Source organism: Homo sapiens, chromosome 4, assembly GCF_000001405.40.
Source record: "Homo sapiens chromosome 4, GRCh38.p14 Primary Assembly".
Lineage (NCBI taxonomy): Eukaryota > Metazoa > Chordata > Mammalia > Primates > Hominidae > Homo > Homo sapiens.
The window spans coordinates 113,448,986-113,467,554 of NC_000004.12; the positions used below are offsets into that span (position 1 = coordinate 113,448,986).

General features: G+C 36.5%; 1 protein-coding gene across 54 annotated transcripts in view, besides 1 other annotated feature; it reads right to left on the bottom strand.

Moving 5' to 3' along the window:
* Positions 1-2,046: 2,046 nt before the first annotated feature.
* CAMK2D (calcium/calmodulin dependent protein kinase II delta) overlaps positions 2,047-18,569 on the bottom strand; it is a 310,707-nt gene continuing 294,184 nt past the window's right edge. For 23 of the 54 annotated variants that reach the window (NM_001321578.2, NM_001321577.2, XM_017008674.3 and 20 more), the window contains 4 exons: positions 16,544-16,619; positions 11,162-11,256; positions 8,350-8,578; positions 2,047-5,530 (listed from right to left, as the gene is read on the bottom strand). In NM_001321578.2, the coding sequence (NP_001308507.1) occupies positions 5,527-5,530; positions 8,350-8,578; positions 11,162-11,256; positions 16,544-16,619 (404 nt within the window). In that variant the 3' untranslated portion in view covers positions 2,047-5,526. Of the gene's footprint in view, positions 5,531-6,740; positions 6,837-8,202; positions 8,579-11,161; positions 11,257-16,543; positions 16,620-18,569 lie in introns of those variants that run through there. The other 31 variants (NM_001396964.1, NM_001321571.2, NM_001321574.2 and 28 more) reach the window with 4 other exon arrangements.
* Positions 3,304-3,851: an enhancer, noted in NCBI's record as "NANOG-H3K27ac hESC enhancer chr4:114373445-114373992 (GRCh37/hg19 assembly coordinates)". NCBI's record gives its function as "activates a minimal SCP1, AML or CMV promoter by ChIP-STARR-seq in naive H9 embryonic stem cells {active_cell/tissue: H9 hESC(naive)}" and the evidence as "EXISTENCE:reporter gene assay evidence [ECO:0000049][PMID:30033119]".

The window sequence follows — 18,569 nt, forward strand, 5'->3', positions numbered from 1 at the left end:
TAAAGGTAACTGGAGTGGGTTTAAGAGAGAATGGGAGGAGAGAAATTTCAGACAGCAGTTTAGGCAAGGCTCTCAAGGAATCTGGCTATAAAGAAATGGGGCACTGGTGGATACAACTAGTATGGAGGAAATTATTTATAATGACAAGGCAAGGTGAAGAGAGTTGCTAGAGCAATACTTGTGAGCAGAGGTGGTGGCCTTTGTTAGGTGCATGACCTATTTACAAACAGTAATAAAAGAGATAGCAGGGTGCATACACAGAGATGCAGAGATTACTTCATTTCTTGCAGTGAAATAAGCAGCAAGGTCCTCACCTGAGTGAGAATAGGGGAAGAAATATTGGAGGTGGGAAAAGTAAATGAAGTCTGAAATAGTTGACAGAAGACTGGAAGAGAGAATGGATTAGGGACATATGATTTTTGGGCAGCCTCTGGGGCTTACCTGAGGCAGGTCAATGGCCATGAATATATAACAAGACCTGTCAGCATAGGTGCACGTTTTTCCAGCTACATTCAGCCTTAGGATTATGAGCATGGCCCAAGCAGATAAGAGGATGTATCCATGGTTGTGAGTTTCCAAGAGTGTGAGAAAGTCCAAGGAGCAAGTGAGTTAGGTTCTACTAGCCTTGTAAAGAGCTAACTTAGATTAAGCCCAGACTACATTATGTGCTAGCAATTGAGTTAGGCCATAGTGCAAACCATTATATCCCAAAGCAGTTTCTAAACATCTGGTTATAGATAGAAAGTTACTATAATTTGTATAAGTATTTCACAATTTGTCCTGGTCCTGCCTAGAGACTCAGCAATAAAAATTACCCAACAGTTCTTGGCCATTGAAGACTTTGAAACTAGGACAAAATAAACTCATTTTACTGTAAAATAGCTGCAGATCTTCCTTTAAGAAATTAAATAGTACCATAGAAACACTTTGTGCTTTTTTTTTTTTTTTGTAGACCTTGATTTTCTTCTTAAAACAAAGTAAAAATAATGACAAGCATTTTAGTAGCAGGGGCCCAGCAGAAGACAGCTGCCTAAGTAGCATGGTTTTAGGGATGCTGAGAACAATCCCTCTACAAACCAATGCCCATACCTGTTCACTGGGGCCTGAGGTGCCAACAGAGGTGCCCTTTGGCTTTAAGAAAGGGGTCAAAGCTGGCTGGGCGCAATGGCTCACGCCTGTAATCCCAGCACTTGGGAGGTCAAGCAGGTGGATCACTTGAGCTCAGGAGTTCGAGACCAGCCTGGCCATGTCTCTAATAAAAATACAAAAATTAGCTGGGTGTGGTGGCATGCACCTGTAATCCCAGCTACTCAGGAGGCTGAGGCATGAGGCTTGAACCCGGGATGAGGCTGCACTGAGCCAAGTTCGTGCCACTGCACTCCAGCCTGGTGACAGAGTGAGACTGTCAAAAAAAAAAAAAAAAAAAAAAGAAAAGAAAAAAAGAAAGAGATCAAAGTCTTCAGTGTCCACAGGAGCCAGCAGCAAACTCATGGGGCAGATGTGAAGTATGTGTGTGCCTGGTGGGGATAGGGGAGTGCCTGCTCCCTTCTGAAACAGGCAGCAGCTTCTCTGACTGCTGCTGTAGTGAACACAGAACCAGTGGGGCAGACCTTACACTTTTTCAAATTAATTAAGCCAGAAATCTTGACTTTTACATGACATATCCAATTTTTAAATGTTGGTGACATTTAAAAAAACATAAAAACACTTTTTACGGACAAACAAGAATTTTTTTTTTCTGTTGTAAAGCAGCAAAAGCCTAAATGCAAATCCTTCTGGAGTACAATTACTGCTTAATCTGTTATCAACTTTTCCTACTCCAGTCTGCAGGAGAACATTCTAGCTCTCTTCTGAGAATTGGTTTTGTCTGAGAGAAAAGCAGGAATGCTGTAAATGCTTCCTGCTGCTTTCTCAGGTTAGGGTGGTTTATGACAGCTGTTGTTCAGTTCATGGACACATGGTCTAGTACGCTGATCTTCATTGTAATCTTTTTGTACATTCTCACCTTTAAAAAATCTGATAAAAAGACCACAGAGCCATGAAAGGTTCATAGAAGTCAGTAGAATTTTATTCAATGAAATCACTCGAAAGCTGTGTCATCTATGTTTACCCTTAAATTATAATTTTTTACATAAAAATTCAAAATTTGGGTGAAGATTAATATTCCTTGAAAATTTCCTTAGAATATACTGATTTGCTACTACATTTCATTTTTCCTACATTCAGCTAGATGACCACTTCATTTGGTGTCTCTCAGCCTTCTGCTGAGACATTTGAGTCCGAGTATATCCTCAGCATTAACAGTAAACCTACATAAAGAGGGCAGCCCAACAGCAAAACAAGAGTTGTATACCCTCGTGAGCAAAGAATAATAACAATAGGAATATTAATGTCAGTGATCAGAATAGTTATACTGCTACCATTTAATTTCTATCAAATATCATTCTAGTCACTCTGTACCCATTAATCCTCACAATATCTTTATTAAGTTGGTATGTTTATTCTCATTTTACAAATATGGAAACTGAGGGTCAGAGGGAAGAGGTAACTTGCTCAGAGCATCAAGACAGTGGTGAGAGAACCCATCATTAAAACAAGGACTATCTGGGTACCCCTTGAGGCTTCTGTTATCAAAAGGGCTTGGCCTCAATTCAACAACTATTTATCAATGATATCTCCATTCCTGGCCTTGGTTTGGGTTTAGGAATGCAATGATGAATACACAGTTCTTGCCCATGGAGACATTATACTGCAGTAGAGGAGACACAAATAGAAATATATTTTCAAAACAATGTGGTTGACAGGAGAGGTAAATACAATCTATTATGTAGGTTTTGAGAGGGAAGGCAAGCCCAGAATAGGGCCTAGGAAGGTTTGCTGTGGAGCATGATGCTGTACACTGAATCTTAGGAAAAAGTAAGAAGTCGGGAAAAGAAGTAGGGGAAGAGACTATTTATTCTAGGTAAGAAACATAAACAACATGAACAGCATAAACAGGCATGTGAGCAAGTGTGATGTTTTTAGCAAATCAAAAGAAGCTGAGCATCCATGTATGCTCAAGTTCAAGCTGGGGAGTAGCAGGAGCTGGGGTGCTTGCCTGTATCCCAGAAATGATAACATCAAAGTGTTACAAGGACAGGTTCGTATTAAAAAAAAAAAAAAAAAGCAGCCATGTGAAGGCTGGATTGGAGGGTACAGTTTAGAGAAGCTTTTAGGAGTCTTAGTTGTTAACTATATTGTTCTCAGCAACATTTTCCCAGAAGAGACCATTGTTTTGCTCACAGAGAACAATTAACTTGCCATTCTCACCAAGTGCAAATTGTTATGTACTAAATGAGACCAGAGTAGGACACACTGCCCTTGACACTGGCCAGCACTATGCAGGCATACATACAGTACCTCTTCTGAAGAAATAAAGATGGACGCACTGTCAGCAGAAATCACAAATTTATTAACTCTTAAATATATCAATCAGTCCTTTACCATTATGGCAAGAAATATATACAGTGTCCCATGGTAAACTGCAGTGTTTCAAAATGATAGAAGATAATAAATGTGTAATTCATTTGTGGTGGAGAGAACAAATCACAATTTCCTCACATCTTAGTGCGGAAGACAAACTTGATCTACAGTAATACTTCAACACCACATGCTAAGTTAAAAGTGTAAAAAAAACACTCTACATCTATTTTTTTTTCTTTAAATACATGTATGCCACGTATAGCTGCTTCACAAAAGGGTAAAAGAAATTAAAAAGAGAAAAATGAGGCCATTATTTTTTCACAGATCTCATTGGCAGGTTAACATGGCTCAATATATTTACTGTATATATTTATTTTAAATATATATGTTGTTTTAAATTGTGTAATAATTATCAGAAAAGCTTCAACCCATCTACCATACATCCACTAGCAATAATATCTAAGATGATTAGTAATCAACACAGAGAGGTGAGATGAGAGAAAAGAGGAAGGGTTGTTTTTGTTATTTTGTTTTTCTTTTTTGCTTCTGCTTTAAAAATAGGCTTCTGAGGACTGTGAATTACTATCGTTAAAATAACAATGATGGAGATTCCATGCACTGTAAAGCACTTCAGGGAAGAGAACAAAAATCACAGGAATTGAATCAACAAAGGAAAAATGAGAAGCACAAAGAAAACCTAGGACATTTCCCTTTTTGTTTTAAACTGGGAAATTCTAACTCCTTGGAGGAAGACAATGATACTCTGATTCAAGAGAGAAGCTAAAAAAGCACAAGTCACAAAGATCAAGTTCAAAACACTTATGAGAATGGCAAACATTTGTAAGCCTCTCTAACACTAGAAAACTAGCTAGTGATGATGCAGAAGTGACCCTTTCATTCCCCAAGGCGGAGGTGAGTGCGTTTGCATAAAACCCCCTCTGCTATCAAGTTGGTATCCTCCTGGCAACTGTCCCAATCAGTAAGACGTTGCAGTCACAGGAGGAACTTGCTTTTATCCTAACTTTAAACAATGCAAATACCTCCAACATAGTTAGGATACCTAAGTCCAAACTAGAGCTTAAGCAGAATTATAAACCTTTAAAATCTTGACAACATTTTTGTGGGCCCTGAAGATGATCAAAAGTGCTAGTATAGCTACCTTCAAAAGACTTTTATTTCCCTTTTACATTCATTATGCAAATTTCACTTCTATTCTTTTCTCACACACTACTAGCCAGCCTCCCCAAAAAAGGAAAAGGGAAAAAAGTAAGAAAAGAATGGAACAAAAGAAAAATAAGAAAGCAAACGAAAGGAACAAAGAAACAGGATAAAGAAAAGAGATCACAGATTTGAGAAAGAAAAACAATTCAATTCAGCAAATTCACCAAAACAATGTGAATATATCCTAAAGTGATTAAACTCAGAAATGATGTGAATTTTTCCAGTTTACACAGTTTGACCAAAAACAGCATGGCTTTATGTGGTAGCAAACCAACTGATTCTTGCTTCTACTTTCATAAGTGATTTTGCCCACATATCATCCCACTTTAATTGTTAATCAGCAAAACTTTCAATGAAAAATCATCCATTTTAACCAGGATCACACCAGGAAACTGAAGGTGTATTTTTTTTTTACCTTAAAAAAAAAAAAAAAAACCAAACAAACCAAAACAGATTAACAGCAAAGAGTTCTAAAAAATTTACATTTCTCTTACAACTGTCATTCAGAGAACAATAGTTCTTAAGTCTGTTAAATCTTGGCATTAACAGAGAAACTTGATGAAGAGTTGTACTTGGAATATTGTGGATTTTTTTTTTTGTCTAATCTCCCCCTATTGTTTTGCCAACAGTAATTTAAGTTTGTGTGGAACATCCCCGTAGTTGAAGTGTAAACAATGTATAGGAAGGAATATATGATAAGATGATGCATCACATATGCATTACATGTAGGACCTTCACAACTTCATGCACTCAGAAACATGCATGAAGAGGAGGAGAGGACGGCCCAGGGTCACCATCCAGGTGCCTTGAGAACAGAGAATGCAGAAGTGGCACTGTTGAAATTTAGCTGAAAGGAGAAAGGGGGAGGAAGAAATAAATTATATTGTTTTACAAAATATCATCAAATTGCTTTGCCATAGATTTGACTAGGCTACAGTTTTATAACTTGGCTAACAAATAGATTGAAAACACTATGTATAAGAGATGTTTGCTTGTGATCATTACAAGAAGAAACATACAATGTTACACAAAGAGAGTATTAAATTAGAAGATCAGTATTAATTATTTTTTCACACAAAGCTAAGCTAAAAATAAAGAGACAGAGACACAGTCTTCAGTCACATTATTAAATCTAAGTATACATCTTAAGCATTCCTGTTTACTGGACAAATTAGTAAATGAATATAATCCTTTTGTTGAAATAGACTTAAAATTCAAGTTCATCCTTAGCTTCTGTTATTATTGTTAGATTCCTTGGGAAATGAAACCTAGAAGTCAATTTAACAAGGAATATAGTCTCGAAAGTAGAGAGAACATGATTACTCTCTTTAATTGGAGATCTCCTTTGCTGAAAGCAACAGCTGGGAGCACTATTTGTTAAAAGCTCTGATAAGGTTTAGTTCTCTGAATGAGGCAAATATTCACAACAGCACCATACATATCTGAATGCTTGTAACCCAAGTCTAAGAAACAATTAATTAAAAACAACAACAAAAGCATGAAGTTAATTACAGTCAACTTTCAATTATCCTCTGGAATTACCCATTTTGTGAGTTTTAAATTTCAGCTTGACTTCCTCCTGTGGCCTGTCCTCATGGTCAAGTACCATTATACTCAGTCAGGCACAGCAAATTGATTTACACATTCGCCATAGCCAGCTGCTTACAGAACTGCAACCTCTTGAAAGAATGGTTAAGACACCAAAGGATTCTAAAGCTTAATATAAATTAAGTCCGGATAATTGAGAGTTATCTGAACTGACCCAGACATAATTTACTTTTGATGTGAAAACTTCAGGATTCTAACATGACACAATCCACATGTTGGAAAAAATTCTTTTCAGTGTTTATTACCTTTAAAATAAGGATTATGCTACCAAATAGGGCTGAATGTTAGATTCAAAAGCTCATGCAAAATTGCTATGAATTTTCAAAGACCTTGTGCGTTTTTCATTGAATATTATGCAATAAAAAATATCCTCAAAAGGAAGGAAAACAGCCATGCAGCTTTTCATTCAGCTCCAGTCACAAAGTATCACGGAGCAGGATGTTACTTACAAGACCCATATGTGAATGGTTTTCAGGCCTTAGATGTTTTGCCACAAAGAGGTGCCTCCTGAGAAGTTTTCTTTCCCATTTGGAATACAGGGTGGCCTATTAAGAGAAGCCCCATTTAAGCCACCTGGCATAAAATGAAGTTTTCTTGAATAGGCTTCATCCCATAAACACTTCAGGGAACTGCAAAAAAACCTAAACCCCTGGTACTGTATGAATGTAACCCCTTCTATATTAACTGGCGATTTGTGCTGTACCTCTTTGGGGTGAAAAACACACAAAAACGGGTGTCTTCATTATCTTCATATTCCTCTTGTGTTTTTCTCTTAATTACATAGCTATGGTTTTGGGAATAAATTTCAGCCTATTGTTTGGTTTGGTTTGATTTTTGTCCCTGTTGACCCACTTTTTACAAATCTAACAGTGATATATAATTATTAAGGCTATACAGAAGGCCTCTGAAAACCACTGTGGTATGCTACCAAACTAAGAAATCATGATGGATTCTCTGGAGTGAGTTGAATGGCTGTTTGTATGAACCCCCATTCCAAATCTCAAATATTAACAGGTGATCCTGGTGAGAGAATTTGGAAAGAGATCAACAGTGGACCCAACTTCTACACTGAGTTTAAACTCTTCTTGTTTTCATCTCACTCCACTTTACCAATAAGCCTATTTTCAATTATTCCTCTTTAGTTGTAACCGGCCTTCCTTACCAATAATGTTCTATCATATTAAACTAAATCCTGATATTGTACTTTTCTTCATGATGCTCATTTAGCTTGGACTATCCATCCTCCTTTGCTTTTTCAGTCTATGTCTCTAAATTCTACTCATCATTTAAGATTTTGTCCAAAATTCTATCTTATATACAAAGTGTACTTCCAAACTGTTATAAACAGTTTACTACACTGTTCATTAACTCTACTGTATTCTGAAGTTGATGATAAACTTTATTATATCATTTTTTTCTTTAGAATCAATGATTGGCTAAATGAGAATACATGTTTCTTGAAAGCAATATCTTGTACTTTGTGTTGAATCTGGCACAGATTAAGCACCTAGGTGATTCACAATAAATATGTGCCTAATCGCTGACTGGAAAAGCAAATGATATCTGAGGTAGAGTGGTGAGGTGAGAATGACATTGCACTACCTGACAATGGCCTTTTAAATGCTGTCTCTCTAACTGAGCTTTAGGGGATCATCTATGAAATGAAACTCCTGATAATATATTGGCCATTTTAGAAACTCCTCCCTATGTTTTCCTCTGATATCCCCTTCTTCTGTCAATTGAGAAGATGAAGTCACAAATATTTTGCCTTATTATACAAGTCCTCTAGATTTAACCCTGTGAGATTTTGATCACGTAGTCTCTCGTCCTGTCTAAACCTATCATATACTGCTCTATAGCAAGTTTCAACCCACAAATGGCTGATCTGATTGATCTTTCCAGAGAATCATAAACCTTTCCCGTGAAGGCATTTATTTTCATCAGTGTAACCAACTACTAGCGTTAAATAACATATACCATGCTATTAACAATGGAATAAGTAGAAGGAGCTGACCATGGGTGTATTAACAAAGAAGCTGACAGCCTGGAAATATTTACTTGATGGGTACTGTTGGTGACCCCGAGCGATGAAAATGAACATTCTGCCACTTTCCATCCCGGCGGTGCCACACACGAGTCTCTTCTGACTGCATTGTCTTTGGCATTCCACTGCCATCCATGTACTGTGTGAGCCTAATATATGCTATGCAGGCGGCATCATCCCCTACCAGATGTACATGAGGGTTTAGAATAATAGTGTGGATTGGTTTATTGCTTTTGGACAAAGCTGAAAGAGAAAAACATGAAAAGCAAAATTTAGTTTCTATGTAAAGGAAACTAAAACCAGTAATAACTTCAGTTAGGACCAATGAATGAAATGACATTTATTCACTCACTAATTAATTAGTTAATTAATCTACTATTTGTACTAATTGGGTACTGGGCACTGTACAAAGCAAAAAAAGAATGAAAGTGGATACAGTCTTTATTTTATCTGGTTTCCTTTACAGGCATTTATATGCTCTCTGGAAATTTTGATTGGGTGAAAAAGCTGGAGAGATATATTTATTTACAATGGAAAGTGGTTAGAAACAGAAATCACAACATGAATAGAAGTGAAGAAGGCCTGGCCCAGGTGTGCCAAGCACTGCCCCTGTCTTTTCCAGGAATGAACTGCTGGGACAGCTGACCAGGGATCTTGTGGTGGTGGTTGTTTTTGTTAGTTGGTGAAGTATGTGGGAGAAGGGAAATATATCAAGTTTCAGGTATAGACATCACTGTCTTCAAAATAAGGCTGGTGGTAGCCTTTGAACAAGCCTATGAACTTGTTTCTCATCTCATTCTCTGACTCCTCCACATACTAGAGTCCATTCCATGATAGTCCACTGTGATCATCTGATAAACATTCAAAATGTGGTGTTGGCACATAGCCTGATTCTGGTCTTCCAGCTCTTTCCCTTGACTGAGTAGCCCTCACTATGCTCCAGCCTCTGGTTTTGACAGTAGTTACCAATTCTAATTATTCAGTCACCAAGAGATACGAGGAGGATTTAGTGCACATCACTTATTGATGCTGTTTCTTTCTTAGATCACTAGAAAAGGTTGAATTGTTTTTGGCTATTATCCAAACATGCTTTCCATTCTCAGAAAACATCTATTCAAATTATATAAAATATTATTATAGTCACCTAAATACCCCATTATGAAGGAATTATATTTATGGAACATGATATATAGTGTTATACTGAAATAGGTTAAAATATTAATGAGTTAATTCTTTCATTAGGGATCAGATGGTGTCGATAGAGAGTTAGTTGGAGGAAACATGAGATGCTATCAGAACACTGGAATATAGGGAATATGATAACATTTACTGAAATTTTGTTAAAGAGAATTTATCAAATAGTTCTTTTTGTTTATTTGTTTGTAAATGTCTAATGCATATAAGAAAAAGTAACTCATCCAACACATCTTAATTCGAAAATCCATGCCAAGGCAGACATTCTTATCAAAGCTTATAATTACTGAAAGTGATGTGATTATCCTAATCATTCCTATAATACATTTCTTTTTTAATTCAATAAGATCTCTGCAAAAATAGTAAATTCCCTTAATGCAAGATGCAAACACAGCATAATGTCTAATGTCATTAGGTGTAAGGAAAAAGAGAAGGATAAAGGGAATTCCTGGTTTACATTTTTCTTGATGACCTGAAGGATTTCTGCAGGATGAACTTCTTTTGTCACCTTCTTTGAAAAGTGGCTGTTTCCTCTGAAACTACCACAAGTCTTAAAATTTGAATTGAAAGATTTATCTGATTACTCACCTTCATTTTCATTTTACTTTGAAAATAAGCATCACATATGCTTGAAAGCACTCTTCTATGTTAAATATTTTGGCATGGTGTGGTTTTTAAAAATTTTTTCCTCCTATTTTTTCTTTTTCTTATTTTTAAAATTTGAGACAGGGTCTCGTTCTGTCACCCAGGCAGGAGTCCAGTGGCATGATTATAGCTCACTGCAGCCTCAATCTCCTGGGCTCAAAGTGATCTCTCATCTCAGCTTCCCAAGTAGCTGGGACTATAGGTGCTTGTCATCATGACTGGTTAATTTTTATATTCTTTGTAGAGATGGGGTCTCACTATGTTGCTCATACTGGTCTTGAATTTCTGGCCTTAAACTATCGCTATCCTGCCACCTCAGCTTCCTAAAGTGTTGGGATTACTGGCATGAGCCAGCGTGCCTGCCTAATTTTTTTATATATAGTTTTATGAAAATGTGAAATAACATTTTTTGTAACTGCTTTATAGCTTATATTATACATTAACTGCAACTTGCTTGAAGTGTATTCAATCAACATTACTTTTTTTTTTTTTTTTTGAGATGGAGTTTCACTCTTGTTGCCCAGGCTTGCGATCTTGGCTCACTGCAACTTCCACCTCACGGGTTCAAGCAATTCTCATACCTCAGCCTCCCAAGTAGCTGGGATTACAGGTGTGCGCCACCATGCCCAGCTAATTTTGTATTTTTAGTAGAGATGAGCCTTTACCATGTTGGTCAGGCTGGTCTCAAACTCCTGACCTCAAGTGATCCACCCGCCTCGGCCCCCAAAGCACTGGGATTACAGGCATGAGCCACAGTGCCCAGTCAACATTAATTTTTTTACAAAGATATTTTTTAAAACACACCAAAACTGTAAGCCAAGCCTGACATATTTTTTTTTCAATTTTGAATACAAAACCATTGTATGGTTTCAAATGCTGGATGAAGGTAAAAACTCTCATTGTAGAAAAGAGCAAAATAATCTGCAAATTTGGGAAAATTCAGAGAGGTTTAAAAAGGGCATGTTATTAAATTAGGAATAAATGTACCATTTTCAAAGTAGAATCGGTGAAAATCCATCCCTTCCACTAAATTACCCAAAGCTTCAGGTTCAAAAGCAGTAAGGCCTGGGTCACAGATTTTTCTGTAAAAGAAAAATAATGAAAACAACCAATTAATAGGTGCTTTAATGTGTTTTGTTGTTTCATGTGTAAACATTCTGATTTACCAGTCACTGAAGGAAAGAGCCTCTAAAAACACTTACATACAAAAGTTCTATCATAAACCTTGGCAAGGTGGGTTGAGGAGCAGACTCTTAAAAAGACATTTTGCAGAGAACTCTGATAGGAACAAACTAATTTATCCAGTTCAAGCAGATGATAATACACAATATTTTAGGAGGCCCCTTTTTATAATTTCTACTTTTTTATTTTTAAGGTGAATTTTCCAGTTTTTCTAACTCTTGATTGAGGTTTACTATTTTTTAAAAATGCTCTCCAAGTCCTATTGTCCAAGTGTAAGACACTCTCCAAATCCTATAAAACTATCTTTGATTCTGAAATTAAATACTTCTGCAATAATAATAATAATAATTATTATTATTTTTGAGACAGGGTCTTGCTCCATTGCCCAGGCTGGAGTGTATTGGTGCAATCATGGCTCACTGCAGCCTCAACCTTCCAGACTCAAGCAATCCTCCCGGCTTAGCCTCCCTAGTAGCTGGGAGTATTGGCGTACAGTACCATGCTGGGTTAATTTTTAAATTTTTATTTCTAGTAGAGATGGGGTTTCCTTATGTTGCCCAGGCTCGTCTCGGACTCTAGGCACAAGTGATCCTCCCACCTGACCTCCCAAAGTATGGGATTACAGGGGTGATCCACCATGCTTAGCCTTGGAATAATTTTTGATGGACCACATATCCTACATTCATGTCAAACATGTATATTACAATTGACTTGAAAGAAAGTATCACACCCTACACTTCCTGGCAATGTCCACAAGACTTACATCTTATTATTGTGTTTAAGTTTATTTTATTTTTAAAATGAAATCAACAGAAGGTTCAAATGCTCATATTGGTTTTCTTTCTTAATCCTAGAAATATGATTCAATAAAGGGGTGCACAATTTTAAATATTTGGAAAAAACCAATGAGCTTTCTTTGGAGAAATTTATTTATTCAGTAAAGAATTGCTGAACACTTACTATGTGGCAGATATTCTTCAAAACAAGCAATTATACAATAATCAATACTAGAATAGATGAACAGGAAAGGTTTAAGAGAGGAAGAAAATTTGAGCTGGGCTTTGAAGAATGAGTAAGAGTTTTCCAGGTGTGTGGGAGGTGGTGGGCAGGGGGAGGACAGCAAGTGCAATGGTCTGCTGCTGTGAAAATGCAGAGTATGCTTGGGGAATGATGACTGGTTGCTTGATATGGAAAGCAGGGTCACTGTGTTATGTGTGTAAGGCCCCTGGAAATGCAGAGAAGAAAATATTTCCTTTGGGCCTATGGTGATCAGGGTAGGCTTCTCAGAGAAGGTGACAAGACCTGGATTTGAAGAATGAATGGGAGTTCACAAGGTAGATCAAATGGAGTACAAATCAAAGGATTTTGGACTGTTTATTAATTTGCCCCAAAGGGTAATACAGTGGATGGGGCCACATCTAATTTCATAGAGAAATTCCCCATTTGGGTGGAGGGGGAGCAAAATTTTTTAAATGTTCAACAGAAATACAAATTTCAAAAGTCTAACTCACTGTAGTTCCTCAAAGTGCAGTACTGTTTATAGAACGTGGAACCGGTGTTATTTAAAGAATACCTTTAAAAAGTAGAAATCACAGTGGATATCCTTTGTGCCTTAAAGATGATGGGGGCAAGGATTACAGTAACCTTCACTTCAGATTGCCTGCTGGGCAGGCATTTTTAAGCTTAAAATCAAATATATATAGTCTCTTTCTAAGAAGCAAAATGGGAAGAACAGCGTTCCTATGGTAACAAGAATTTATTCTGCCAGGGGCTATTACTTCCTCTATAAATATGGTTTTTGGTTGTCATTATCAGTGAACCAAAATTTCTTACTGCCTTACATCAGTACTAACATAATCTGGGAATCACTGTGCCATGATGGATCTTCTTACCCAGCCATGAAAAAGAGTCAGTATATTTGGAAATGTGTGTGTGTGTGTGTGTGTGTGTGTGTCTGTCTGTCTGTCTGTCTGTCTGTCTGTCTGTCTGTCTGTCTGTCTATCTATCTATCTATCTATCTATCTATCTAATCATCCATCTACCCCATAAAAGGCTTTGTATTAATGAAAGATCCACAAAGCTGCCATTTGACATGTGGGTGTGTGTGATCTGAACAGGTGTTCTAAGGACCAGCTGACAGGGATCCACCAGTACATTCTACCATCCCAAAAGCTCTCGAATGGAAGCCCTGTTGGATTAGCTCTGGCTGGAAAGTACAAAATCAGGCCAGATTATAAGTCTCCATAGGCAAAGATATTAGTGAACTGGTATGATCCCAAGGTTTAGCATTATTTAAAATACCCTATTTTAAACTGAGAATATAGGAAACATACACTTTTGCCTGGCTACAATTGCTCCCTATATAACAGTAGTATCTGTTTATAAATTTAGAAAGAATATAAAAGAAGCAGGAAAAAAATTCATACACAATTTTACCTCTCAGAGGCAACTTCTTTTTAACAATAACAAACACAACTTTTTATCATTCCACAAGGAAATGCTATTGCAAAAAAAAAAGATTTTTTAAAAAAGAGAATAATCTTATTCTTTGGATAATCATATGTATCTAACAAGGATATAACAGCAACAAGAATTTTTAAAAAGCAGGTTCTATGGCACAGCTATAAACAATTGTTTAATAGGGAACGGTTGTCTCTGAAAACAGACTTCTTCTTAACTCCAATTTTTACTATTTCTTTTATTCCAAGTATGTCTTATTAGGTCATGATAAAGAATGGATACACTCATACATAAGTATATGCATGTGTTTATACATATATGCACACATATTTAAGTTATAAGAAGAAGCTCCTGATATAGTTTGTCTTACATTTAGCTAATCTCGTCCATATTTTATATTTTGTGTTTATTTATAACTAATGATAAAAGTAATACTTGCTTATGTAAAATTTGGGAAGAATAAAAAAGCAGGAAAAAAATTCACACATAATTTTACCTCTCAGAGGCAACTTCTTTTTTTCTTTTTAAAATCTAATTTGGCATGTTTCATTCCACTTTTAATACTTTTTATTTATTTATTTGTTTATTTTTTGAGAAAGAGTTTCACTCTTGTTGCCCAGGCTGGAGTGCAATGGTGCGATCTCAGCTCACCGCAACCTCTGCCTCCTGGGTTCAAGTGATTCTCCTGCCTCAGCCTCCCAAGTAGCTGGGATTACAGGCATGGACCACCACACCTGGCTAATTTTGTACTTTTAGTAGAGATGGGGTTTCTCCATGCTGGTCAGGCTGGTCTTGAACTTCCAACCTCAGGTGATCTGCCTGCCTTGGCCTCCCAAAGCGCTAGGATTACAGGCGTGAGACATCGCACCTGGCACTTTTAATACCTTTTACTTTTTTAGTTGTAATAATTATGTACATAGTCTTTTAAGTCCTGCTTAATTTTCAGTAAAAACATCATAAATATTTTTCCAGGTCGCTAGAAACTCAACATAACCATTGTACCAAAGATGATTTAATGGGAATGGTACTGTTGGGCATATACATTGTTTCCAATTTTTCACTATTATGAATTTTGCTTCAGTATATATCTTTGTTCACAAATTTTTGTTCATGTTTTACATAAAAAATTTATACTTGTTAAATTCTTATAAGTAGAATTATAGTATTACAGTAAAGTGAGACTTTATAAAAGCTTTCAGGTATATAATAACAGATTATACAACAAAATATATTACTAATCCCCCCATATCTGCCACCACCACCACCCTGAAAGTTTGCACCCAATTGTGTTTTATTCCATGGTGGAGGAAAGTCACCATTGTCCTGCAGTATCTGCACCTTGCTGGCTATCAGCAGAATTTACATCTCTGCTGACTTTATAGGGAGAAGAGGCTCTTGCATTCAAGTTTGTGTATACTTAATTAGTAAACATGAATATGCCTTTACTAGTTTACTTGTCATTTATATTTCCTCCTCTGATAATAGTCAGTTCATGTTCTTTACCTATTTTTCTACTTTTCAATCATATTCACGCAATATAAAAAATTAAATTTTGATATATGTTTTGCAAATGTTTTTCTAAGTTTGTCTCTTTTATTCTTGGTTTTTTAATTAAAGTATACACGTTTTATCTATTTAGGTATAATCATATTATGTTCTCATTTATGATTATATCTTCAGCTTTTGGATCTTTCTAGCCAGAGATCAGATTCAATCTCCGTTTTGCATTTTAAGTCTTTCACTGGGGTGGAACTCATTAGTTGCATGGTGTAAGGAGAAGGCCCTATTTAAATTGAATGCTTTATTTTAACTTCAGCAAAGTAATTTCCTTCATAGTTCCTATGATCCAGGAGTTTATAAACTTTAAATAAGCATTAAAACCCATTCTTCAAGTAAAGTTTTCCTTAAGATACAAACATATAAAAGAGATGCAGATAAAGTTGAGCTGTACTGGCTGAAGAGAGAAGGCTGCCTCATGTCACCTCCTAATCTCTTTCTCTGCCCCAGAACCTCTGCAGAACTGCAAGGGAAAACATTTCTTAAGCTGAAATGCACATTTTATGTACTTTCATATTTTTTTGTGTGTTTGCTCACATGAATTGCTCTGCCTGGACTGACCTTTTCTCATCTGGACTTCTGTATGTGTGATGTGGGAGTGGTTATACATCTGTATATTTACAAAGAAATCTCCAATCGTTGGATCAGAAGTCAAGCCTTCTCTCTGTGAAATCTTTTTTCTTTTCTTTTTTGAGACAGGGTCTCACTCTGTCACCCAGGCTGGAGTGCAGTGATGTGACCATGGCTCCATGCAGCCTCGACCTCCTGGGCTTAGGTGATCCTCCTGCCTCAGCCTCCCAAGTATGTGGGACTACAGGTGTGCACCACTATGCCTGACTAATTTTTAAACTTTTTGTAGAAACGGGGTCTTGTTTTGTCACCCAGGTTGGTCTTGAACTCTTGGCCTCAAGCAGTCTTCCCACCTTGGCCTTCCAAAGTGCAAGGATTACAGGTGTGAGCCACTGTGCCTGGCCTCTGAAATCTTTTCTCTGAAATTTTCTCTGAAATTTTTCTCTCCTAGGGGCACTTAGTCATTTATGAAATAAAACTATTGTTAACATATCAAACCTTGAATTAAATATATGTGAATTCAGACATGTTGAATAATGCATTCATATAAAAAATATATTTACCATATGCATGAAAGCAAAGTAAACGTCCGCTACTCACGTGTAGGCTTCAAAGTCCCCATTGTTGATAGCTTCGATCAGTTGTTCAGTGACTTTGATAATCTCTTGCTTTCGTGCTAAAGGCAAAAATATGGAGTTGGGTAAGAATAAAAGACAAAAGTCATATTAAATATTCTTTTTCATTTTTAATTTTTGAGATAGGGTCTCACTCTGTCACCCATGCTGGAGTACAGTAGCGCAATCACAGCTCCCTACAGCCTTGACCTCCTGGGCTCAAGTGATCCTCCCACCTCTGCCTCCCAAAGTGCTGGGATTACAGGTGTGATCTGTGCCCTGCCAGAATCTGCATTTTAACATGACTCTCAGGTGACCTCTGAGTACATTCATGTTTGGAAAGCACTGCTATTTTCCATTTGTTTGAAAACAACAGTCACCTGAAAGGTCGGTCAAGGCTATGTTTTTTAAAATTAGTTTTTACTAAGGCTGGGCAAAGTGGCTCATGCCTGTAATCCCAGCACTTTGGGAGGCCGAGGTGGGCGGATCACCTGAGGTCAGGAGTTCAAGACCAGCCTGACCCACACGGAGAAACTTCATCTCTACTGAAAAAAAAATACAAAATTAGCCGGGCTTGGTGGCGCATGCCTATAATCCCAGCTACTTGGGAAGGCTGTGGCAAGAGAATTGCTTGAACCTGGGAGGTGGAGGTTGCAGTGAGCCGAGATCACGCCACTGCACTCCAGCCTGGGCAACAAGAGCAAAACTCCGTCTCAAAAATAAATAAATAAATAAATAAATAAATATAAAATAAAATAAAATAAAATTAGTTTTTACTACCTTAACTTGATTGGATTAGTAAACATATTTCTCTTCATAGTTAACAAGTGTTATTAAAAACAATCTTAAAAAGTATCATTCTAATAATATGTCTATCTTCAGAGTAAAGATGATATCTTGCATTGAGATATTGAACTTTATATAATTATTTGCATTTTCTCACTTTTCTGCTTGACAAACTCTACAAAAGGATGCCGACACTGTGACTGGCCTTTGTTTTTAGACAAATGGCCTTTAGTAAACTCTACAAATTGAAGAAGTGACATATGAATCAATACTGTAGATGTAGGCAGATAATAAGATGAAAGCCTCCAGGTATAGCTGTCAAACCCAACACCAATCATGATTTGTTTCTATTCCTAGCCCATAATTGGTGAAATTATTAATAGTGGTTTGGCTCAAATCCTATCTATTCAGTGAATTTGTTTCTACTGACATCTGCCTCAAGTGTTCTTTCTCTTTTTTGAAAGCCTGCAGCATCTGTATCACTCGGCAATTATGCATATGCTATCTCTTGATACCTTCTTTAGTTTAAAACACATTATTACTTGTTTTAAATTGTTATTAAACTTTCTGTACTGTGTAATGTGTCTTCCTTGTTAACTTAAAAGCTTCCCGAGGGCAAAGAACATTTTATTTTCTTGTATAGCCTAAAAAGCTTTGTTCAGTGTCTTTTATGGAATAGATGCTCAATGTTTGTGAATTTAATCAATTGAGACTAATAAACTTTTCTTGATTTCAGAACACTGTTCTCTTATTTATAAAATTACTGCATGAAATATTTTAGAAATCAAATTTTACTGGATTTTAAGAATATTGCGATATTCCCTTAAAATCACTGAACATAGACTGGGAATCACAAAATGTTACTTCCCATCTTATCTTACTGAGGTAGTGAGGCTATTGATCACGAAGAAAGCTGACCTCAGGTTTTATTCTTTATTGACTAAAGAAACCAGTTTGCATTTTTTATGAATCTGATCTTCATCAAGCAGATTTTAACCACAAGCTTAAATGCTTACTTTCACTCTGAAACTTCAGGTTACCTAGGTGATGACATTATTTAAAAATAAATTTTCTATAAACCACATTTTACTTCATCGAGACTATATGAGACTATATCATAACAAATACAAGTAATAAACTATCCTATAAAATGTGATTAAGTTAGTCCATAATATGGTTGCTAACAATGTCAAGGTCTATAATATTAAAAAATCACTATATGGGTT